The sequence below is a fragment of the Homo sapiens genome, chromosome 1, assembly GCF_000001405.40.
Source record: "Homo sapiens chromosome 1, GRCh38.p14 Primary Assembly".
In the NCBI taxonomy this organism is placed as follows: Eukaryota; Metazoa; Chordata; class Mammalia; order Primates; family Hominidae; genus Homo; species Homo sapiens.
The window spans coordinates 208,421,178-208,446,631 of record NC_000001.11 but is presented as its reverse complement, the minus strand read 5'-3'; the positions used below and the strand labels follow the sequence as shown (position 1 = coordinate 208,446,631).

The 25,454-nt window shown below is 40.8% G+C and overlaps 3 annotated features.

The window, feature by feature from the left end:
* Positions 241 to 1,440: an enhancer, noted in NCBI's record as "MED14-independent group 3 enhancer chr1:208618537-208619736 (GRCh37/hg19 assembly coordinates)". NCBI's record gives its function as "activates an origin of replication core promoter dependent on BRD2, BRD4, P300/CBP and CDK7 cofactors, and independent of MED14, by STARR-seq in HCT116 cells {active_cell/tissue: HCT116}" and the evidence as "EXISTENCE:reporter gene assay evidence [ECO:0000049][PMID:35650434]".
* Positions 581 to 1,081: an enhancer, noted in NCBI's record as "H3K27ac hESC enhancer chr1:208618896-208619396 (GRCh37/hg19 assembly coordinates)". NCBI's record gives its function as "activates a minimal SCP1, AML or CMV promoter by ChIP-STARR-seq in primed H9 embryonic stem cells {active_cell/tissue: H9 hESC(primed)}" and the evidence as "EXISTENCE:reporter gene assay evidence [ECO:0000049][PMID:30033119]".
* Positions 14,086 to 14,255: an enhancer, noted in NCBI's record as "experimental_1801 CRE fragment used in MPRA reporter constructs". NCBI's record gives its function as "activates a minimal promoter by MPRAs in K562 erythroleukemia cells, with activity observed for both the introgressed and non-introgressed 1:208605807 variant alleles {active_cell/tissue: K562}" and the evidence as "EXISTENCE:reporter gene assay evidence [ECO:0000049][PMID:34662402]".

Sequence of the window (25,454 nt, the reverse complement as noted above, 5' to 3'; positions counted from 1 at the left end):
GTGTGGAGAAGGCAGGGCAGCCCACGCAGAAAGGTGGGAGGCAAGTAGACAGAGGAGGTGGTAGAGCGGTGATGGAGTGTGAGCATCTAGATAAAAAGCTGCAGTCAGCTTCCCAAAAATCAGGGAAAATAATAGCCGGAAATAATAAAGTAGAATGGTAGCAGTGTCAACTGTGATAAGCAGATAATTTGTTACTCTGGACAGCCTGGGGCCCCTTTCCAGAGACAGGCAGAAGTCCAAGTTCCTAGACTTTCAGCCTGTGCAATCAAGAAGGAAAGAAGTAATGCAAAGGGCAGCAAGAACCACAGAGAGGGGGATTTCAGGATCATGGCAGACGGGAGGGAGGACTAGATTGCAGCTGGGAACAGAGCAGCATGCGGGGGCTTGCACTGTGAATTTTAGCTCCGGATCAACAGCAAGAACAAACCAGCAATCCTGAGAGGACCCACAGACCCTCTGAAGGAAGCACACTGCTACTGCAGGACCCGGGAGACACCTCAAATATACTCTGGGAGGCGGAAAGCGTCGGCAAGTTTTCAAGCCCGTCTAGCCCTCTGCCTGGAAACAGACTCAGGGCTGTTTTGGTGGGGCACCGTGGGAGGTAAGATCAGCCCTTTGGTTTGTGTGGGAGCTGGGTGAGGCCTGTGACTGCCACTTCCCTGACTGCCCTTCCCTGACAACCTGCATGACTCAGCAGAGACAGCCATAATCCTCCTAGGTACACAACTCCAGTGACCTGGGAATCTTACCCTATCTGCCACAGCAGCTGCAGCAAAACCAGCCCAAGGAGAGTCTGAACTCAGACACACCTAGCCTCGCCCCCACCTGATGGTCCTTCCCTACTCACCCAGGTAGTGGAAGACAAAGGGCATATAATCTTGGGAGTTCTAGGGCCCCACCCATTGCCAGTCCCTCTCCACACTGCTACAGCTAATGCTTTCTGGAAAGTGACACCTCCTGTCAGGAGGCCGACCAGCACAAAAATGGAGCATTATTTTTTGCACAGAGTCCAATGCACCCTCTGCCACCTCCACCAGAACAGGTGCTGGTATCCAAGGCTGAGAGACCCACAGACGGTTCATATCACAGGACTCCGTGCAGACAACCTCTGGTACCAGCCTGGAACTGGGTAGACTTGCTGGGTGGCTAGACCCAGAAGAGAGACAACAATCACTTCAGTTCAGCTCACAGGAAGCCACATCCACAGGAAAAGGGGGAGAGTACTAAATCAAGGGAACACCCTGTTAAGGGAGGAGACCACCCCTCATATTGTGTTATGCCCAATTTCTGCCTCCAAAGAAAGAAGTAAAAACTAAAAGGCAGAAATGAAATCCACAGGCAGACAGCCCAGCGCCATGCCCTGGACCTGGTAGTTAAAGATTGACGCCTGACCTAATTGGTTATGTTATCTATAGATTACAGACATTGTATGGAAAAGCATTGTGAAAATCCCTGTCCTGTTCTGTTCCATTCTAATTACCAGTGCATGCAGCCCCCAGTCATGTACCCCCTGCTTGCTCAATCGATCACGACCCTCTCACGCAGACCCCCTTAGAGTTATAAGTCCTTAAAAGGGACAAGAATTGCTCACTTGGGAAGCTCGGTTTTTGGAGTCCTGAGTCTTGCCGAAGCTCCCGGCTAAATAAAGCCCTTCCTTCTTTAACTCCATGTCTGAGGGGTTTTGTCTGTGGATTGTCCTGCTATGCTGTGGGACAAAAGAATCTGAACAACATCCTTCAGCCCTAGACCTTCCCTCTGACAGAGCCTACCCAATGAGAGGGAACCAGAAAACCAACCCTGACAATATGACAAAACCAGGCTCTTCATCACCCCCCAAAAATTACACTAGTTCACCAGCAATGGATCCAAACCAATATGAAGTCCCTGATTTACCTGAAAAATAATTCAAGTGGTTAGTTATTAAGCTAATCAGGGAGGGACCAGAGAAAGGTGAAATCCAATGCAAGGAAATCCAAAAAATGATATAAGAAATGAAGGGAGAAATAGTCAAAGAAATAGATAGCTTAAAGAAAAAAAATTAAAAATTCAGGAAACTTTGGATACACTTTTAGAAATGCAAAATGCTCTGGAAAGTCTCAGCAATAGAATTGAACAAGTAGAAGATTGAAATTCAGAGCTCGAAGACAAGGTCTTCAAATTAACCCAATCCAACAAAGGCAAAAAAAAAGAATTAGAAAATATTAACAAAGCCTCCAAGAAGTCTGGGATTATGTTAAACGACATAAGAACAATCGGTGTTCCTGAGGAAGAAAAAATTCTAAAAGCTTGGAAAACATATTTGGGGGAATAATCAAGGAAAACTTTCCCAGCCTTGCTAGAGACCCAGACATGCAAATACAAGAAGCACAAAGAACACCTGGGAAATTCAGCACAAAAAGATCTTGGCCTAGGCACATTATCGTCAAGTTATACAAAGTTAAGACAAAGAAAATAATCTTAAGAGCTGTGAGACAGAAGCACCAGGTAACCTATAAAGGAAAACCTATCAGATTAACAATAGATTTCTCAGCAGAAACCCTACAAGCTGGAAGGGGTTGGAGCCCTATCTTCAGCCTCCTCAAACAAAACAATTAGCAGCCAAGAATTTTGTATCCAGTGAAACTAAGCATCATATGTGAAGGAAAGATACAGTCGCTTTCAGACAAACAAATGCTAAGAGAATTCACCATTACCAAGCCACCACTACAAGAACTGCTAAAAGGAGTTCTAAATCTTGAAACAAATCCTGGAAACACATCAAAACAGAACCTCTTTAAAGCATAAATCACACAAGACCTATAAAACAAAAATACAAGTTAAAGAGCAAAAACAAAAAACTAAGTATGTAGGCAACAAAGAGCATGATGTATGCAATGGTACCTCACATTTCAATACTAACATTGAATGTAAATGGCCCAAATGCTCCACTTAAGAGATACAGAACTGCAGAATGGATAAGAACTCATCAACCAACTATCTTCTGCCTTCAGGAGACTCACCTAACACATAAGGACTCACATAAACTTAAAGTAAAGGGGTGGAAAAAGGCATTTCATGCAAATGGACACCAAAAGTAAGCAGGGGTAGCTATTCTTATATCAGAGAAAACAAATGTTAAAACAACAGCAGTTAAAAGAGACAAAGAGGGATATTATATAATGGTAAAAGGCCTTGTCCAACAGGAAAATATCACAATCCTAAACATATATGCACCTAACACTGGAGCTCCCAAATTTATAAAACAATTACTAATAGACTTAAGAAATGAGATAGACAGCAACACAATAATAGTGGGAGACTTCAATACTCCACTGACAGTGCTAGAAAGGTGATCAAGGCAGAAAGTCAACCAAGGAACAATGGATTTAAACTATACCTTGGAACGAATGGACTTAACAGTTATATACAGAACATTTCATCCAACAAATGCAGAATACATATTGTATTCAACAGCACATGGAACTTTCTCCAAGGTAGACCATATGATAGGCCATAAAATGAGCCTCAATAAATTTAAGAAAATTGAAATTGTATCAAGAACTCTCTCAGACCACAGTGGAATAAAGCTGGAAATCAGCTCCAAAAGGAACTTTGAAAACCATGCAAATACGTGGAAATTAAGTAACCTGCTCCTGAATGAGCATTGGGTCAAAAACAAAATCAAGATGGAAATTTAAAAATTATTTGAAGTAAATGACAATAGTGACACAACCTATCAAAACCTCTGGGATGCAGCAAAAGCAGTGCTAAGAGGAAAGTTCATAGCCCTACACGCCTACATCAGAAAGACTGAAAGAGCAAAAACAGACAATCTATAGTCACACCTCAAGGAACTAGAGAAACAAGAACAAACCAAACCCAAACCCAGCAGAAGAAAGGAAATAACCAAAATCAAAGCAGAACTAAATGAAATTGAAACAAAAAAAAATACAAAACATAAATGAAACAAAAAGCTGGTTCTTTGAAAAGATAAATAAAATGGATAGACCCATAGCAAAATTAACCAAGAAAAGAAGAGAGAAAATCCAAATAACCTCACTAAGAAAAGAAACAGGAGATGTTACAACTGACACCACTGAAATACAAAAGATCATTCAAGGCTACTATGAACACCTTTGCACACATAAGCTAGAAAACCTGGAAGAGATGAATAAATTCCTATAAAAATACAACCCTCCTAGCTTAAGTCAGGAAGAATTAGACACCCTGAACAGAACAATAATAAGCAGCGAGATTGAAACGGTAATTTTAAAAGTACCAACAAAAAAAGTCCAGGACTAGATAGATTCACAGCAGAATTCTACCATTCAAGGAGGCATTGGTACCAATCATTTTGACACTATTCCACAAGATAGACAGATAAGGAATCCTCTGGAATTCATTTTATGAAGCCAGCATCACCCTAATACCAAAACCAGGAAAGGACACAACCAAAAAAGAAAACTACAGACCAATATTCTTGATGAACACAGATGCTAAAATCCTTAACAATACTAGCTAACTGAATCCAACAACATATCAAAAAGATAATCCGCCATGATCAAGTGGGTTTCATACCAGGGATGCAGGGATGATTTAACATACACAAGTCAATACAAGTGATACACCACATAAACAGAATTTTTTTAAAAATCACATGATCATCTCAATAGTTGTAGAAAAAGCATTCAACAAAATCCAGCATCACTTTATGATTAAACCCTCAGCAAAATTGGCATACAAAGGACATAGCTTAATGTAATAAAAGCCATCTATGACAAACCCACAGCCAACATAATACTGAATGGGAAAAAGTTGAAAGCATTCCCTCTGAGAATGGGAACAAGACAAGGATGCTCACTCTCACCACTACTCTTCAAAGTAGTACTGGAAGTCCTAGCCAGAGCAATCAGAAAAGAGAAATAAATAAAGGGCACCCAAATTGGTAAAGAGGAAGTTAAACTGTCCCTGTTTGCTGACCATGTGATTGTTTACCTTGAAAACCCTAAGGACTCCCCCAGAAAACTCCTAGAACTGATAAAAGAATTCAGCAAAGTTTCCAGATAAAAGATTAATGTACACAAATCAGTAGCTCTTCTATACACCAAAACCAATCAAGCAGAGAATCAAATCAAGAACTCAACCCCTTTTACAATAGCTGCAAAAAAAAAAAAAGACTTAGTAATATACCTAACAAAGGAGTCAAAAGACCTCTACAAGGAAAACTACAAAACACTGCTGAAAGAAATTATAAATGACACAAACTAATGGAAACACATCCCATGCTCATGGATGAGTAGAATCAATATTGTGAAAATGACCATACTGCCAAAAGCAATCTACTAATTCAATCCAATCCCCATCAAAATAGCACTATCATTCTTCACAGAGTTAGAAAAAACAATTCTAAAATTCATATGGAACCAAAAAAGAGCCTGCATGGCTGAAGCAAGACTAAGCTAAAAGAACAAATCTGGAGGCATCACACTACCTGATTTCAAACTATACTATAAGGCCATAGCCACCAAAACAGTGTGGTACTGGTATTAAAATAGGCACATAGACCAATGGAATGGAATAGACAGCCCAGAAATAAACCCAAATACTTAAAGCCAACTGATCTTCAACAAAGCAAACAAAAACATAAAGTGGGGAAAGGACACCATTTTCAACAAATGGTAATGGGATAATTGGCTAGCCCATGTAGGAGAATGAAACTGGATCCTCATCTCTCATCTTATACAAAAATCAACTCAAGATGGATTAAGGACTTAAACCTAAGACCTGAAACTATAAAAATTCTATAAGATAACATTGGAAAAACCCCTTTTAGACATTGGCTTTGGCAAGGATTTCACGACCAAGAACCCAAAAGCAAATGCAATAAAAACAATGATAAATAGCTGGGACCTAATTAAACTAAAGAGCTTTTGCACAGCAAAAGGAACAGTCAGCAGAGTAAACAGACAACCCACAGAGTGGGAGAAAATCTTCACAATCTCTACACCTGAGAAAGGACTAATATCCAAAATCTACAACAAACTCAAACAAATCAAGAAGAAAAAAAAATCCCATCTAAAATTGGGCTAAGGACATGAATAGACAGTTCCCAAAGAAGATATACAAATGGCCCACAAACATATGAAAAAATACTCAACATCACTAATGATGAGGGAAATGCAAATCAAAACCACAATGCAATACCACCTCACTCCTGCAAGAATGGCCATATAAAAAAATAAAAAAACAGTAGATATTGGTGTGGATGTGGTGATCAGGGAACACTTCTACACTTCCGGTGGGAATGTAAACCAGTACAACCACTATGGAAAACAGTCTGGAGAGTCCTTAAAGAACTAAAAGTAGAACTACCATTTGATCCAGCAATCCCACTAATGGGTATCTATCAAGAGGAAAAGAAGTCATTATTCGAAAATGATACTTGCACATGCATGTTTATAGCAGCACAGTTCACAATTGCAAAATTGTGGAACCAACCGAAATGCCCATCAATCAATGAATGGGTAAAGAAACTGTGATATATATATAAACTGATATATATCATATATCATAGATATATCACATATATATGATGGGATACTACTCAGCCATAAAAAGGAATAAATTAACACCATTGCAGTGACCTGGATGAGATTGGAAACTATTATTCTAAGTGAAGTAACTCAGAAATGGAAAACCAAACATCGCGTGTTCTCACTGATCTGTGGGAACTAAGCTATGACGATACAAAGGCATAAGAATGATACAATGGACTTTGGGGACTTGGGGGAAAAAGTGGGAGGGGGAGAGGGGTAAAAGGCTACAAATATGGTGCAGTGTATACTGCTTGGGTGAGGGGTGCACCAAAATCTCACAAATCACCACTAAAGAATTTACTCATGTAAGTAAGTAGAAATACCACCTGTACCCCAATAACTTCTGGAAAAATAAAATAAAATAATAAAAATTTTAAAAAGATTTGCTAAAAAAACAATAATACACTAAGGTAAAGGTGAAATTTTGCTTTGTCTCTTGAACAAGATTTTCATGTAATTTTTATCAAAGATTTGTGTTTGCTTTTTAAATAAACTGTAGGAAAAATAAGAGAAATAAAAGAGGGAACCAAAAAAGAATCACAGACAGCTTGCACTGCGAGGGACCTTAGGAATTATTTAGAATAACTTCCCTTTCCATGACACCACGCTCCATTGGCTTTCCACCCACCTCACTAGCCATTCCTTCCCAACCCCTTTTCTGGTTTCTCTTTCTAAATATTGCAGTCACAGCCTTGGGTCCTCTTTTCTATCAACATCCATTCCCTAAGTGATCCTATCTAGTCCCTTGGATTTAAATATCAAAATGCCGATCATTGCCATATTTGTGTTCCAAGGCCGTGACTGTGCTCCCAACTGAGCTCCAAACTTGTATACCCAAGCATATACTTGTTAAATCATTTGAATGGCTTAAAGGCATCTCAAATATAGTATGCCCAGGGCAGAGTTCTTGATTCTGCTTTTTCCACCCAAATCTATTGCTCCCCCGTCCCTCCCCCAACCCCTACATCTAAGTAAAGATTACCTCCATTTATCCATTTTCTAAGCCAAAAATACAGAAACCCTCTTTGGATTATTTTTTCTTCTTACAAACTATATTGCATCTATTGGCAAGCCATGCCAACTTATTTATTAGTGGCAAATATATGTCTCTGTTCTATTTCCATTGCCACCACCCTAACTGAAGTCATCATCCTGAGTTCATCTAGATCTTTCAAAGACATTTCTTACATAGTAGAAGTTGGATAAATATTTGTTAAATAATGAATGAGACAGAAAAAGTAGGTGGGCAGAACTTTCCTGGAATGATTATTGTGAGTAAACGTAACTTCATTCCAGCTAAATCTTCCAATCACATAATTGCCCACTGAGCACCCAGTATTTCCAGCAGCCCTGCCATGTTTCCTAACACTACACCATCTCTTCTTAGGAGCTACCTGGACTGTACCTCTCCTTGCCCAATTACAAAAACAAACAAACAAACACTCTTTCCATTGTTCTTTCCTCCCTCACTCCAGAAACATTGTTTCTAAATTGTGATATAAATCTTACCAAAACACTGGACCATCAGAAATATGTGGATGGTTAGGAACGTTGCATACTTTTCTTTTGAATGCTGAATAATGCATAGTCATAGCTACAGAGTCTCTTAGCTTAATAGAAAGCAGAAGCAATTCAGGATTTGGGAGCCTGTCTCATTCCCATTAATACCACTTCTCAACTGGAGCACATAGGTCAGTGGTCATGTCCATAGTTGCATTAAAGCCATTAAGCTGGGGACGAGGAGGGGTGAGATGGAGAGTTGTGTGTTTGCTTGCTTATGATAAGTGCTAGAGTAAGGGCTCTGAAGTGCCCCCAAGGACTCTGCATTCTGAATAATATAATGATGTGCACTTTACAAAGTATCATCACATTCATTATGTCATTATTCAGCCACATAATGCTATGGCTATAGGTTTTAACATCTCTATTTTATAAAAGAGGAAACTGAGGCTCAAAGGGTAAAGTAACATGCCAAACATTACAAAGCCATGTTATTTTATGAAAAATCCTGAAAGCACTTTAAAATGAGTGGATGGTGAAAACATCTCACATCTCCCTGCTGAATGAGCAGATAGCAAAAGGCATTCCAGCAAGGTTACATGTTATTTATGGGAATTCAAGAAAATCTCTTCCCTGTCAATAAGCCCTTTGGCTGGCACTCTTTCCCACAGCTACTATAAGCACCAAATGGGGTCCAGGTTACCCTATTATTTAAGATATTCAACTTCTGGTGCAAGATTTCCCAGTGGACCCGCAGATTGTCTTTTCGCCTCCTCACCTCACTGTTTCTGTGGGTCTGTAAACTAGGTGTCCTTGCTGCAGGGACAACCTCACATTCACACTCTGTGACCCACCTGGGGGAATGACTACTGATTAGACTATGGGCTCTTCCCATTCACAATCCAATCTGAGGCCTGAGGCATTGTCAGACGGCCCCTCCGTCATCTTGGGCTCTCTCTGCTGTGTCTTACTATGCAGACAGAGGAAAGTGACAGTTTTCATCATTTCCTGCTAAATGATTCAGTGCTGATTCAGCCAGTTTCAACTCCACAGCAATGCAATAAAAAAAAAAAAAAGAGAGAGAGAAAAAAAGACCCAGAATAGAGGAGCAAATGCTTATCAACCATTCTGAGGTATTGTTACAGGTAGGCCCTCTCTTTTCTTTCACTCAGGAAAGTCCTTGTGCTTCTCCAAGGACACGCAGCTGTACTGGATATCAGCCTCCTGGGGTCTGTCCCTTCATTAACCCTTCATATTTCCATTTTAGAGGGGGCAGGTGTTTCTTGGGAAAACAACAACAACAACAACATTATTTCTCAGGCCCCAGCAATGGAAACCACATGCCAAAATAAGAACCATCCGATCAGGAGTGTAGTGGCACTGCTTCCAAGTGGAGCTGCAACCTTAGGTAAGTCATTTCCCATTTCTGAATCTCAACTCCTCTCTACTCAACAAAGATGACCAAACCCTCTTCAGATATATGTGAAATACTTTGCAAGCTATACAGTATAGGAAGAAAGCAAAATGAATGGAGGGTTTTTTTTCCCTTTCTAAAATCCCAAATTAACTTACACCACAGGCTCTCCCTGCATAAAAGCATGAAGGCAGGTTGGCCAAACTAAGGGTTTTTGTGCCTGAGAGACACTCAGGACTGAGTTATGGTCTGGACAACACTTCAAGTGAAGAAAGTTTATCTTCTTACCAGCTGAGGGCATGAAAGAAGGTTTCTCACCTCTCTTTGTGCAATTTTTTTTGCCTTGATATCTCTAAATACCTCCAACCATGCCCCAGAAGGCTCATGCTATTCCCCTGTAACCTATCCCCCAAAACTCCACTGCTTTATTCAACCAAACCCTGCCGGTAAGAGATAATCCCCATTTTTTAATCCCTACCAGATCACTTTAATCTGGATCAAAAGGCATGTATTCTTTCTCTGTCCTCCCCTACCTCAACTTTTAATTTAATGTAACCAATTAAGCTGTGAAAATAAGTCCATAAGGTTCTCCCTGACTACCACATTTTGTTTTGTTCAGACATTAAAGCTAAAGGGTAATTCCACAGTTTGGACTTGCCCTTTGTTTCCTCCGTGTTTTCATTCACTCTGTTCTCCTTGCATAAAGGTATCGTTTTCTCTCTCTTTGTCCCTCAACATTTCCTCTTCCAGGAAGTCCATCTTCATCCTATCAGACAATATATCCAAATACCTGCGATACATTCCATAGCACCTGCACTTCTTCATAACAACCAGCACAAGGCAGTAGGTGCCATGAGAGCCAGGTTTATGTCTGTGTGTTCACCCTCATGTCCCCAGTGCCTAGTACTTTGGCTGGGACATAGTAGAGGCTTAATAAATCAGTGCTGAATGAATGAATCATGGTGACAAGGAAGACATTTTTATGCCAGTTAGAACTGGCACGACCTCAGAGGTCATCCCCAAAAGTGTCCCACCCAAGCCTGGCATCCCCTACACAGTATCCCCAGCAGACAGTCAACTGGCTTCCATGTGAACAGGAGCAGATACGGAGAAATTACTTCTTTACAAGACCATCAGTTCTCTTCTTTGACAGCTCTCACTATGAGCAAGTCCCTCACCCAAACTGGGGAGGCACACTGACTGCTTCCTTCCTACCTACAGGTGAGGCTTCAGGTGTTCTGTAACATGCCCTGCAAATGTATCCATCAGATGAGAATCTTCGCATGCGGCGTCCCCTGATTCCCTTCTGAAGTCACCTGCTGGGTCCCACTGCCTGCTGTCCATCCCACTACACACTGCCTGTCTTTCAAATCTCATTTGACTCCATCTTCCTCATTCTGTACCTAGGCACGAGTCCTGAACTTCTTATGGAATCCAGCACCCTGGATACCCTCCTCTCCGCAAGGTGAATTAGGACATTATTCAAATAGAATAAAAATATTCTCCCTTATGAAAATAGACTTTGGTCCCAGTATGCCCTCTGGAGCCACTTGCCCCCCTCTATATGAGACTCACAGCTAACTCCTACAATGACCTTCTTCTACCCCTTCTCCCTTCCCTAAGGTTATCTTTCTTCTCCAAGTCAAACAGCCTCAGATCCCTCTATTCTTCTTCTCACGTGGCATTGTATGCTAGTCCTCTACAGCTTTGACCATCCTCTGCAGGTCGATTATTAACTGGGGCCTTTGGATAGCCCCAGAAAATCACAAATCTCCAGTCTAGACCTTAGCCACACCCAGCCAAGTCCCTGGAGTAACAAATAAGACAATGAACACCACTGGGCAGGTTTCAGGTTTTCATTTATATGCACAGAACACTAAGAAGGGTCTCCGTCACTATCAGATAATTATTCTTTCTCACAGTGGAATATGTTACATTCAGCAAGGCAGAAGTTGCCCTGGGTAAGTACTAGGATATATACAATCTGCTCTATATTTAAAAAATGAAAAAGAAAATGGAAAAAAATTCCACAACTTCTCCCTTTGTGTGCTGTTAAGATAAACATCCTTTCCCCCAGTTACACAGCTAAAGCTGATGGTGAATACTTTTCTCCCCGCAGAAATCACTTCTGAAAAGCAGACATTTAACATTTCCAATCTGTCTCTGAAGCCGAGATTAAATTACATTCTGTTTTGAAGGAATCGAAAACACACTTGTTAATATAATAAATGCCTTCCGTTAGTTCTAGAATTTGTCTTTTTTAGGCATATAATTTAAGAATTATCTATTATGGTAAAAAAAAATTGAGCCATCTGAGTCTGTGCTAATGTCTGTAAGCAATAAGTCTTCGATTTCCTTCATACTTCATTACGGGCGATACACAGAGAGCAATCATTCCAAAATCAGAGGTTGTTTTCTGTTGTCGGACTATTGTTCATCAGGATTTATGAAGCAACAAAAAGGCATTTTCTTGATTTTCATAAGTTAAGCTAACAGTCCGGTGATGACAACCCCATTAAAACTCAGCAAGTTAGATGTTTAAGCTATGGAGTTTTATACCGTATCTATCATTTTTACAAAGTGGCTTTCTGTCCTCCTTCAGCTTTCTGTAGAATCTTTCATCGATAGAAAGAAGAGGAAAAATGCTTATTTACCATATATTTGTTAAGCCACACACATTTGCAATGTATCTTACCTGACAATGTGTAAAGGACATAGAGCATTATGAAACTGACCAATTTTGATGATGTGGAGAGAAGAAATATTAGGCAAATAGCATTCTCTTTCAAATCAACCCTGCCTGCTCTGGCTTTTGCTAATGCATTTCTCCCTGGGGCTGGAGGTTGAGGGAGATGAGGAAAGGACAGCTGACTTGTAGCTGGGGGAGGCAGCACACTTTGCTCTAAAGATAGTGACCCTGTCCAAACTGCAGCCTGTATATTGTTAAGAGCCTCCTTGTGATTTAGGCTGCTGGACACAATCAGCACCAGCTGAGACTTTGGGAATGCATGTGGGAAAGGAATCCCCGGTTGGCAAGAAAAAGAGATTTCTTGGCTTTTAAGTCTTGCATTTACGAATCTCCCATTTGCGATAAGGAAATCCTGTTAGGTAGGAAGATGGAGTTTATTCTCTGCGACTCATTTCTTCCTTAGGGCTGTCTGTTGGATTTACCAGCATAACCACTATCCAAAGCAGAAAGTCTTTTCTTCTCTTTTTTTCTTTTTTCTTTTCTTTCTAAGAAGGGAGCTCTTGTCTTCTGAGAATCAAGAGGCTTTCAGGTCCATTCCATCTTGAATCAGTCTACAGCTTGCTGGTGGCCATGGCCTTAGTCACAAGGGCCTTAGAGACACATGTGGATGGTGATAGAAACAGAAAGGAGCTTGAAAACATTTTATTCTCAAAAGAGGTGAGTTTCCCAAGCCATGTGCATTAATTGTAAACCTCTATGTAGTTAGGAAGATGGACCGAGTTCCCAGAAAGCCCAAGAAAGTCTTGTCTCCATCTGATGATGGAAGTCGCATCTTCTATCATCTTGCTATTCTAGAGACACAGTGGGACAGGGAGAGGAAAACAGGGGCTGACATTTGTTGTGCTCTCGTATTCTATACACTGTGCTGGGCATGTTTATATATGTAAGCTGTGGTTTTCAAAAATGCCTGGTCTGCTGGTTTTCCCAACATAGCCTCTTATGAACCCAATGCTACCAATTCCAGCTGTGATGGTGAGACATGGAAAAATATGTGCCAATTGTGCTTGATGTCCTGCCCCCAGGAGGTGACTGATGTGGAGCCAGCAAACTCACAGTCCCTTTGATAGATAGCTGGCTCCTCCTCCACGCTCTGTTTCTAAGAAACTCAACATCTTCCTGTGGGATTACCCAAGATTCCAGAAAGCCTGGGTTTTGTTTCTTTCTGCCTTCATTGTGGCTGAGGTCACATGCCATCTTCTGTGTGACTAACTCACTTTCCTGAAATGAAAACCCATAGAAACAGCTACCAAACACATGTGGCATGGGTTGATTGGTAGTTGAATTTCCCCATCTACCAATTTGTGCCTCTTGCTCTCTCAGCCTGGTAGATTAATGCCATAAAGTTAATTCCCATTAGTTCTATTATTGCCCTTTATCTGGCTTCCCTTGGGGCACACAGTGGGATATTGGAACATGACTCTATTTTTAATAAAACTTCCCTGTAATAAAATAATTTTTAAATGATAGATTAGATCTTAAAATATATGAACAGCTTATGTTATCGCTTGCTTGAGAGACTTCACCCCTCCTGTATGGTTTGGATTCCTTTTCTGATTAAAGAAAAAAAAAATTGCTATTGTGAGCATTTGGCTTCTGATTTTCCATAATTCTTATTTGTAAGCACTTTCACGCTGGTACCTCCTTATAATTTACTAAGTGCTTTGCTCTTAAAGAGTACTTAACAGAAAGAGGTGCAGAGAAATTACATCTGGCAATTAGGCCAGTAAATTTAACTCCAGGACCCAGGCAAAATAGGTCATTCCTTGCTTCAGGTTTCCTATCCCTGTCACCAGCAACAGGTTGCCTGTGGGCGGCTCCTGACCATGTTGAAGGAAGCATGGGGTAACTGCCTGCTGTTAAGCTGTCATTTAGGGCTCTGATGGCCCTTAGAATACAGTAGCAAGACTCATTCAAGAGCCAGAACAAAGATAGTTCAGCCAAGACAAAGCTCAAGAAGCCTGGATTACAAGAAGTCATGTGGTCTTAGTTTCTTGTGGCGCCAACTAGCTTAGTCCTCAAAAAAAAAAAAAAGAATTTGGCCCCAGATTTTTTTTTTCTGCCTTGAAGACTGTGCCAGTAACCTTGCCCATGACCTGCGCCCCTCCCTTGCCCAACCATTTCCCATGCCTATGCATAGAACAATTATGCAATTTATCTCCAAACTCAGGCATTTTGAGAGTGAAAGGGGGAGATCCTAATAGTCACACACAGAAAACATGTGTAAAGGAAGATCCTTCTGGACAAATTGGGGATGAATGGACACCGTCTATATGCTATGCCACCCACTTCCAGAATGGAGAAGAAGATGGGCATATAAAACAAGTTCGAAGAAAGTGTGGTTTGAGTCATCAGCTCTGAGTCCATTTCTCCAGGCTGCCTTTTCCAAAGAGCCTGAGGTTTGAGCTTCTTGCTGCCAATAAGAAAGAAGATATTTGATATCATGTGTACTTTGTCTTCTGGGGAGTTAGCATGGTGAGGCATCAAACTGTGTGGGCTCTGAAGCCAGACTGTCTGGTTTATATTCTAGCTCCCCACTTACTAACTGGGTGACTAACATACTAGCAAGCTACTTTTTTGTGCTTCAGTTACTGAGTGAGCGGAGAAGAGAGAAGCTGGGAGGGTTACATCAACGGAAATTCATCCACCTGAAAACAAGAGGCAAGAAAAAAAGAAGGTGGCCTCCTAGTGAAGATTACCATTTATTAAATCCTCACTCTTGTCAGGCCCTACATGACAACATCTTAACGACAACTCTTCAAAGTACACATTCTCATCACCCTCATAATCATCATCACCATTGATATGTCTGTTTCACAGATGTGGAAATGGAAGCTCTGAGACAGTTATCTTTTGCAAGGTCATGCAGCTAGCAATAATTAGAAGCTATCTCTGACCCTAAAGTCCATGTCATTTCTAGTATGCAAAGTATCTTAAGTGGTGTATGTGAGTAGGACAGGGGCATTCTGCTTCAGTGAGACCTCTCCAGTTAAACTTATCTCAATTTACCACCAGCACATGCTTTCTAGAGACATTTAGCCCTAACCTGGAAGCTCTTCTTGCTAAAGTATTCTTCTCCTCCTTGGGACTTCAGTGACTTAGCTGTGTGACCTAGGCTATTTAGCCTTTTCTTGCTTCAGTTTCCTCATCTATAAAATAGAATGTATATTCATGCCTATATCATGAGAGTTTTGTAAGCATTCAATGAACTAATACATGTGAAGCCCTCAGAATGGTGCCCAACACATGATAAGGGTTCAATAACTATTAGATGTCAACGTCTTGCTCCAAGTTGGCAGGAGGAAGTCAAAAAAACTGGAGAGCTAGTAATTCATCACTGGGTAGGGGAAATGTGGGGAAACTTCAAGATCCCTCTGCCACACAGGAAAAACGAGGGTAGACAAAAAGATTTCCCTTTCCCGCACTCATGAAGAACCTTCTCAAGGACAAAGCTCAAAAGCAGCATCCTCATCTTCATTTATATAGTAGCAAACAATTTGTCCATATCCAACATCATTGAAACCCAAGTCTGCAATTTCTGCCTGTGCTTACTGACATTCCCCTACTTCCATGTTGTCCACATTAGCAGGCATGCTAATGACTCCTATATTAGTCCATTCTCACACTGCTATAAAGATACCACCCAAGACTGGGTAATTTATAAAAGAAAGAGGTTTAAGTGACTCACAGTTCCACATGCCTGGGGAGGCCTCAGGAAACTTACAATCATGGCAAAAGGCAAAAGGGAAGCCAGAAACTTCTTCACATGGCAGCAGGAGACAGAAGTGCAAGCAGCAGAAATGCCAGATGCTTACAAAACCATCAGCTCTTATGAGAACTCACTCATTATCATGAGAACAGCATGGGGGAAACCACCCCCATGATCCAATCACCTCCCACAGGGTCTCTCCCTCGACAAGTGGGGATTACAATTCAAGAGGGGATTTGGGTGGAGACACAGCCAAACCATATCAACTCCATAGCCTTCCTGCTCTGGATCTACCTGGAGAGAGCAAGCCAGAGCAAAGCAGCCAAGCCTGCAAGGCACATACACCTAACGAGAGGTTCCTCATCTGTAAAATGAGGAGGTTGGACTTACCTGATGATCTCTAAGGCCCTCTCCAGCACTAACATTCTATGGGTCTGTGATTCGGAGGCACCCCAGGATTACCAGGGCACCAGAAGTTGAGCCAGTTGCATTTCTCATGCATAATGGGCTGGAGAGAAACAGTTGGCGGGAATTAAACTCTCAAGTCCCAAGCACTGCAATTTGTCCTTGCTGCTTATTGGGGAGCCGAAGGTCATGCTTTGCCAGAGTCTTAAATATCAGTCTCATCCATAAACCTCATTCAGGCTGCCTGGAGAGTCAAAGTCTCTTATTTAAGAAGTGAACACAGTAGGGGAGAGGACACAGGACAATGGAATATTTTAATGCAGGCAAATAGCTTTTCGAAGCCCTATAGCCTTGTTCAGCTTTACTCTGCAACCGTGCTATTTGATCCCTTTGCCATTGGGTTGAAAATTGTAAAAATATTTTACTTGCAAAAATTCACTGTATATGTGGAGTTTTCGATCCACCAGCTTTCAGGAAGCATTAAATGTATTGCAACAGTAAAATAACCAGAGTTCATGGGCTGAAATCACCAAGGGCAAGAGACCCTGGAAACAGAGATGCAGGTCACAGGCTTAGTCCTGTCCAGCCTATAAAGTGCATATTTGAGGATAAGTGGGAGCCTATGTAAGGCAAAGTAACAGTTCCCTGAATGACACATTCAGCATGGAACTGGGCTAAAGGAGAAAGAGGTTTCTCCTAGTCCCTTAAGACTGAACTCAATTCTGACTGCTGTTGGGATTGCACCTACCCTTGAGCAAGTTGTGTCTCTACAGTCTTGCAGTGGCATATTCAACAGTCTAATGAGACCTTTGCAATGGGTCTTTCTGCCCGTTGATCGGGGAATCACTTGATTTCATCTGGTCCCGATTTCTTTCTGATTCATATCACATGTCTTGGCTCTAAAAACACCAGTGAGGTTCATGTGTGATTTTGGGAGGTTGTGCTCTGGATACATGTGACCACAGCCCTGAGAAGCAGTGTCACAGGTAGCTAAGCACGGAGATCTACAGCCGGACTGGTGATTTCAAGCCTCAAATCTGTCATGCCAATTGTGTCACCTACACACATTACTTCATTTTTTTCACCCCAGTCTCACCATTTTAAAAATGAGAAATCAAATATAGTATACTTAGGAGGTTGTGGGAAGGATAATATGAGTTTTAAAATAAAACACCTCCTACTTTGTACTTCATCCTCATCAGGCAAGGGCATATTGTATCAGGGGCTACTGAGGAGACACTTACGGACAACTGAAACTCACCTGAGGGATTTATTTAATTTCTGTCTGTGGCCACAGAGAAACGTTACAGCGATCTCACTACCTCAGCGAGATCAAATCTTGGCTGGGTTTGGTAGAAAGAGGAAAGAAAATAAGAAGGTACTAAGTGCTCTGAAACACAGGGTGAGAAAATGGAAGGAAGAAGAGAAGGGAGCCAAAATAGGCTTGCTTTGAGAGCTGCAAAAAACCTCGTTGGTTTTACGCATTTGCTTCTCTGGGCCCACTGATTGTGCACTTCTCCCATCTGTCATCAGAAACTGCCATATCCTCTTGCCTTACACCCTCTCCTCCTACGGCCTGCCTCACCCTAGCCTGTTCCCTAGAGGCAACTCAGGGCTGAGAAAAAGAAGGAGATGGGATGAGATGAGATTTCACGTGACGTACTGGCCACCATGAATAGCACCAAGCCCTGCTGGTGATTCCTAGATATTCAGGGATAAGCCTACAGACACATTCAAATAGTGCTCAGATGAACCCTGGACCTGCATCCTGACATCAGGGCTTAGTGCAGAGGCACAGAGGAGAAAACCCACCAGCCAGAAGCTAAGGGAGGGGCCCCCATCTCCACTGGAAAAGAGGGTGTCCCCTCTTCCCATGCCAAAATCTGATTTCTTCTTTGTAGTTCAAAGGCATTGAGAGTTACGTCGATTGCTTATTTTACTGACTAGGAACTGACACTTTCTCTGAAAAGATTCAGATGCCCAGCTTGGCAGACACTGGAACCCCCATAGTGGATCCTCTGGGTAGAATTCCTTCTCCTCTTCCTCTACCTCTTGTTTCTCTTCTCCCTCTTAAGAAGAAGGCCCCTGTACAAGAACTTGGATTTCCAGAAGGAGAATATATTTAGAAAGTAGTATGTGCCCACTGGAGAAAAAAAATAAATAGATAATTTGTGAAGCAAAAAGCAAAGGCTTTCCCATAGTGACCCAACAAGTCCCCTCCTCAGGGGCAGTCTTGATAAACAGCCTTTAGATATCCTTCTAGGCACTTTTCTAGCTACAAATAAGCACAGTGTAGTTTTCTAGCTACACATATTGTTAAAATGGCAACATTTTAACAAAATAAATTTGCATTATATTTATTGGTCTACAACTTGATATTTTGTTTCATAATAGATCATGGGTGTATCAGTGTGCTAGGATCACCATAACGAAGTGCCAAAATCTGGGTGGCTTAAACAACACGAATGTATTCTCTCACAGTAATGAAGGCTAGGAGTCAGAAATCAAGATGGCAGCAGGGCCAGCTCTCTCTGACAGCTCTAGGGAAGACTGCTTCCTTGCCTCTTCTAACTTCTTTTGTTCCCTGGCTTGTAGACACATCACTCCAGTTACATGACCAGCTTCTCCCTGTGCATCTTACCATAATCTTCCTTCTATGCCTGTCTATCTCTTTGTTTAAATTTTCCTCTTTTTTGAGATGGAATCTTGCTCTGTCACCCAAGCTGGAGTACAGTGGCACGATCTTGGCTCACTGTAAACTCCACCTCCTGGGTTCAAGCAATCCTCTGCCTCAGCCTCCCAAGTAGCTGGGATTACAGGTACCTGCCACCACGCTGGGCTAATTTTTGTATTTTTAGTAGAGATGTGGTTTCACCATCTTGGCCAGGTTGGTTGTGAACTCCTGACCTTGTGATCCACCCACCTCAGCCTCTCAAAGTGCTAGGATTACAGGCATGAGCCACCACACCCAGCCAATTTCCCCTTTTTGTAGGAACAGTCGTTGCATTGGATTAGGGCCCATACTAATGACCTCATTTTCATTTAATTGCCTCTGTGAAGATCCTATTTCCAAGTAAGACCACATTCCGCAGTACTGGGGATTAAGACTTCAACATTATCTTTTTAGAGGGATCCAATTCAACCCATAACAATGGGCATCCTACTGAACCTACTTCAGTTTCTTAATAGCTACCTAATATTCTATAGTTTTGTTATGCTATAATTTCTCATTCCCTAAAACTTGAACATTCAGTCTTCTTCAATTTTCTGATATGCTAACCAGTACTAAGAATTCTTATACATATTATTGTACACTTACCTTTGCAATTTTTTTAAGGATACTGCTATAGTCTGGAAGATGGTGTTCCCCCAGATTGATATTTGGGAACAAATGTCCAATGTTAGGGTATTGAGAAGTGGGGTCTTAAGGAAAGTGATTAAGTCATGAGGACTCTGCCCTCATGAATGGGATTAGTGTCCTTATAAGAGAGGCTGAAGGCAGTCCCCTAGTCCCTCCCACCCCTTTCGCCATTGGAGGACACAGAGTTTTTCCCTTCTACCATGTGAGGACACAGCAACAAGAGTGTTCATCCCTTCCTCCATGTGAGGACACAGCAACAAGGCACCATTTACGAAGCAGAGAGCAAACCCTCACCAGACGCCATATCTGTTGGTGCCTGGATCTTGGATTTCTCAGCATCCAGAATTGTGAGCAATACATTTCTATTGTTTATAAATGACCCAGTTAAAGGTATTTTATTATGGCAGCCCAAACAGACGAAGACAGATGGGTTCCTTAAAGTAGAATGTAAGGGTCAAAGGATGTGTTCGTCTTAAATTTTGATGAATATTGCAAAATTGTCCTGCATTAAGTCCTATCAGTTTTTACACCCACTAACAGTGTATAGCAGCGCTGTTTCCCCCTACACCTTCATTAACCAGAAATCATCAATCCTTTATATTTCTACCAATCTCGGGGGGGTAGAAAGAAAATTGTATCTTGCTTAATAGCTATTCCTCTGATCCCTAGTGGAATTGAAGATAATATGTTTACACCCCATTTGCTTCAGTGAATTTTTAAATGCTTTGCCCATTATTCTGTGGGGTTGTTTATTCATCCAACAAGCATTTCTAAAACATCCACGATGTGCCAGTCAGAGTGCTAGGTTGCTTATATGGTATTTTAAAAATTGATTTGTAAATTTTTAGAATCTATCTTTATATTAAAGCAATTAATCCATTGTCTATAGTATACCTAAATTCTTAGGTTTCCGTTTGTGTTATATTTTGCCCTATACAAATTATTAAAATTTAATTTAATTAGTCCTATATATATTTTATTTATTCTGAATGTCTGTTTAGAAGGCTTTTCATAGTCCAAGATTATAAAGAGTATTCTGATATTTTCTTCTAGTACTTTTGTAACATTGTAATTTTTTTCTTTAATCCACAGAGAATATCTGTGAGCTTGATATAAATGTAATTTTTTCATCTATGAAAATGAAAAGCAGAATGGTCTGCTGATACTTAAATACCACTTACCAATTGTTCTGTCATTTTTCCTACTAATTGGCAGTAAAGATATGAGCTAACATTTTATTATATACTTTCTGTTATAGCCTGCATTCTCTGAAAGCAGAACCTGGGATAAAAGCTTGAATGTATTTGGAAATGTGAGCCCAAGAAACAGGCATTCTTAAGTGGTAAGTGACACCTGGGAGGAGAGAAAGTCAATACATAAATATGCTTTCAAGTCAACCACTCCCATGGGCAACCTTTGCAGAATTACCCTGGATCTTCTGAGAAGCCTTACTAAATATTCTGGGAATATTACTAAATACACTGGAATAATAGGAGCAAAGCATTTACCCCTTGACTCCCATCCCTCATTGCTCAAGGGTTGCCATACAGACGCTAACTCCCTACAATTCCAGGTTGGGCATGTATGAGTGCATAATATATTCTCACCTGCATTCCACACAATGTCCTGCAGAAAGGGTGAGTAATAGGGGCCAGAAGCAAGTGCTGTCTGATTGTATCTGCATGAAGCCGGCCAAAATTTACAACACATTGAAATGGCTGCGCAGAAAGCTCTTGAACAACACTGTCAACACTTTCTATGAAAACAGAAATGGTCTAGATCTGAGCTGTCCTGTGTGGTAGTTGCTAGCCACATATACCTGTTAAGCTATCAAAATGCAGCTAGCAAAACTAAGAAACTGAATTTTTTATTTTTGATTAATTTTATTTAAATTTGATTAATTAATTTAAATTTAAACACACATCGCCACATGTGACTTGTGGCTACCTATGAGAGAGCATGAGTCCATAATAAGAGATAGTTAAAGAGAATTTTGAAGTGACGCCTACATGGTGCCAATATACCTTCTACGATGTACTAAGTACCAAAAAATTCAGCACGTTTTTGATTTGCTAAAATCCTTACATATTTTACTTTATCCCCACAACAAGCCTCTATGATAGATATTATTATTCATGTTTTATAGAAGAGGAAAGTAAAACTTAGAAAATTTAAATGACTATTTTATGATTGTACAGCTAATAATCAGCTGGGGCCAGGATTTAAAACTAGACAGTATAATTTTAGAGGATGCATTTTTAATCGTCTTGCCATGAGGTCACTCTGTCACTAAATTCCTATATATACATGGATGCATACCTGGATTTTGTCTTTACCTATCCATCAGTACCACACTGTTTAAATACTATAGCTCTAAAGTATGTTTTGATACCTAGTACATTTTTAGCACTTTATCATGTGACATTTTTAAATATTTTGACCACCAACTATTTCCCTAGCTAAATAAGAAGTAATTAAGAAAGGTAGAGGCCAGTTCAGATCCTTCAAGCTTTAAGTTACAGAAAAGTCAGCTAAAAAAAGGTGTTTGTTATCCCAAATAATAAGGCTATAGCCAGGCATTTCTAGAATTTGTTAATATGGCTGCTCAGAGATTTAAGCTTTCACATTCATTTTCTTTTTCAATTTCCAGAATATTAGCATTTGCCCTAAGGTTTTTTGGTCCATGGTCCAAGATGACTAAAGCACTTTCAGCATCATCTCCTCACACAGCCATGACCAGAAGATATGGATTTGGGAGTAGTCACCTGATAGTGTCTGCTATAATGACAAAGAAAATTATGATTCAATTCAGAGACTATGTAGATTTAATATTCAATAGAACTAAAAATATTCAAGTTTGATTTCTATTTAAATATAATCTCTTAGTTGAAACCAAAGTAAGGGTTGGTTCAGGGAATCAAAGCAGTTCCATTTGAGATCTTGATTCTCCTACGGGCAAAAGGAATTCTTGTCTGAGTTCAAAGACTCACTGTAGCTATTTCTTTCTTGGGAGAATTCAATTTTGCCACAACATCTTCATGCTTAGAGAAGCTGAATTTCAACCCTCTGAGCAGCAGTTCTCAATGTAGATTTAAACCATAGCATCCTAAAACTTTAGATGTGGGGAAACCTGAAAAATCATGTGGCCCAGAATCTTCACATCACAAATGAGGAAGCCCGAGCCCAGTTAGAGTTGGAGCGAGGACTAGAATCTTGCTTCCCTGATGACCCCGCCCCTTCCTCTTTCCCTGTGTGATTTCTCCAAAAGGCAAAAAATGAGCTATAACAATTTATTACTTTTATTCTGTGTCCAAAAGCCCTGGAATCTTTTTTTTTTTTTTTTTGGCATAGTCTCACTCTGTTGCCCAGGCTGGAGTGCAGCAGTGATATCTTGGCTCACTGCAACCTCCACCTCCCGGATTCAAGCTATTCTCCTGCCTCAGCCTCCCGAGTAGCTAGGATTACAGGCGCGTGCCACCATGCCCAGCTAATTTTTGTATTTTTAGTAGAGACAGGGTTTTATCATGTTGGCCAGGCTGGTCTGCAACTCCTGATCTTAAGTGATCTGCCTGCCTTGGCCTCCCAAAGTGCTGGGATTACATTTTTAATCCACTTCTAAAATGGATATGTGCTAACCAACTGTTCAGAACTCCAGTATTGCTATTGTTCAGATGATCTGGATATTTCCTAAATAATTTAGATTATGTTTAACTCTTGCAGACATTCTATGAGTTTATCTCAGCATTTATTGGGCTAAGTTAAAACCTGAAAAGACAAATATAAAGTTTGTTGCGTATTTTCTAACTAAAAGGGCAATGTGTCCTAATTATCAAAAATTTGGAAACCTTGAAAAAACAAAACTCAGAGAAACCAAAATTAGCTGGGTTCCATGGCTCATGCCTGTAATCCCAGCACTTTGGGAGGCCAAGGAGGGCAGATGGCTTGAACCCAGGAATTCCAGACTAGCCTGAGCAACATGGTGAAAGCCCATCTCTACAAAAAACAAAAACAAACATAAAAATGAGTCAGGCATGCTGACACACATCTGTAGTCCCAGCGGCTCTGGAGGGTGAGTTGGGAGGATTGCCTGAGCCATAGAAATTGAGGCTGCAATGAGCCATGATCATCCCACCGTACTCCAGCCTGGGTGGCAGAGTGAGACCCTGTCTCAAAAACAAACAAACAAACAAGGCCGGGCACAGTAGTTCACACCTGTAATCCTAGCATTTTGGGAGGCCGAGGCGGGCGGATCACAAGCTCAGGAGTTCGAGACCAGCCTGGCCAATACGTGAAACCCTGTCTCTACTAAAAAAATACAAAAAAATTAGCGGATGTGGTGGCAGGTGCCTGTAGTCCCAGCTACTCGGGAGGCTGAGGCAGGAGAATCTGAACCCCAGAGGTAGAGCTTTCAGTGAGCCGAGATCGTGCCACTGCACTCCAGCCTGGGCAACAGAGTGAGACTCCACCTTAAAACAAACAAACAAACAAAAACAACAAAGAAATTAAAATTATTCAGTATCCACCATCCAGTGATAATCAATGTTAATATCACAGCTTATGTCTTTCTTTGCATACTTTTGCAGTGCATGTTATTATGAGACTTTTAAGATGAAAGTAACTTTTTTGAAGCCGCTGTTTTTAAAAGAAAATTTGCAGATAGATGAGAAACATTTTTCAATATCAATAAATAAAACATAATTTGATTTTTGAAGAGTGGAAGTATCATATCATGTAGATAAACCACAATTAATGTAATCAACTCTCTATAATTCAGTGGGCAAGTTTGTTACTAATATTTTAATATTTTAGGCACATATATTTGTGCATTTCCAAACATAAAAATATTAAGTCAAACGATGAGCACCTTCTTAAGGTCATTAACACATTTTGCCAAATTGCCCTCCAGAAGGCTTATTCCAATTTATATAACCCAAAGCTGCCTGTGAGATTCCCTATTTTCCTACTCCATTGCCCACATAAGGGGTTAGCATTCATCGTCATTTCAGCCAAGGGGAGCTTTTGCAAAAGCCAAGCTTACCTTTGTGACTGCGATTTTTATTTGTCCCCGTTTGCAGCTCCCACGAATTCTTGTCTTGACCAAGGCCATCTGAGGGGTTTCTGCCCTCACTTGGCTGCACTGACATTGATTCAGCAAACAGTTTTGCCAAAAGGACAAAGATAACAGATGTGTTCACTTGGGAGACCTGTTAGCAGTGGACCATGAAGAGGGTTTGAGGGAAAACAGCAGCTTCTCCAGAAGAGCCTCTGACATTCTGGAGAGAGGCAAGCCCTTCTTTAATTGCTTTCAACTTCCTCTCTTGCAGGTTATTTCCCTCTTGGCCTCAGACCTCCCTAGGTAGGGACTCATCTGCATTTCCATTTGCACTTCTTGCTAGTGGACACACAAAGGTGAATCCAGGAGCAAATTTAACGAACTGGCAGGAGAAACTATTCCAGATTGTTCTGGATAAGCTTGGTATTAGTAGGGTATTTCATTTGCTACTAAATCAATGCAAACAACAGGATGCTTTATTTCTTTCCATGCAAGCTTTAATAACCCAGCCCAATCATAATGAATTCTGGGGCAGAATTAATGTAAAAGAGTAATGGTGATTAGGTAATTATCAAGTAAAGAGAGCATTTAACCTTCCCAGTGACTAAACTGCCTAAGACTACCTAATATAATATATGCTTTCTGGAAAAATTAATAATTTAAAAATTATCTAATCTCTACTATTAATCAA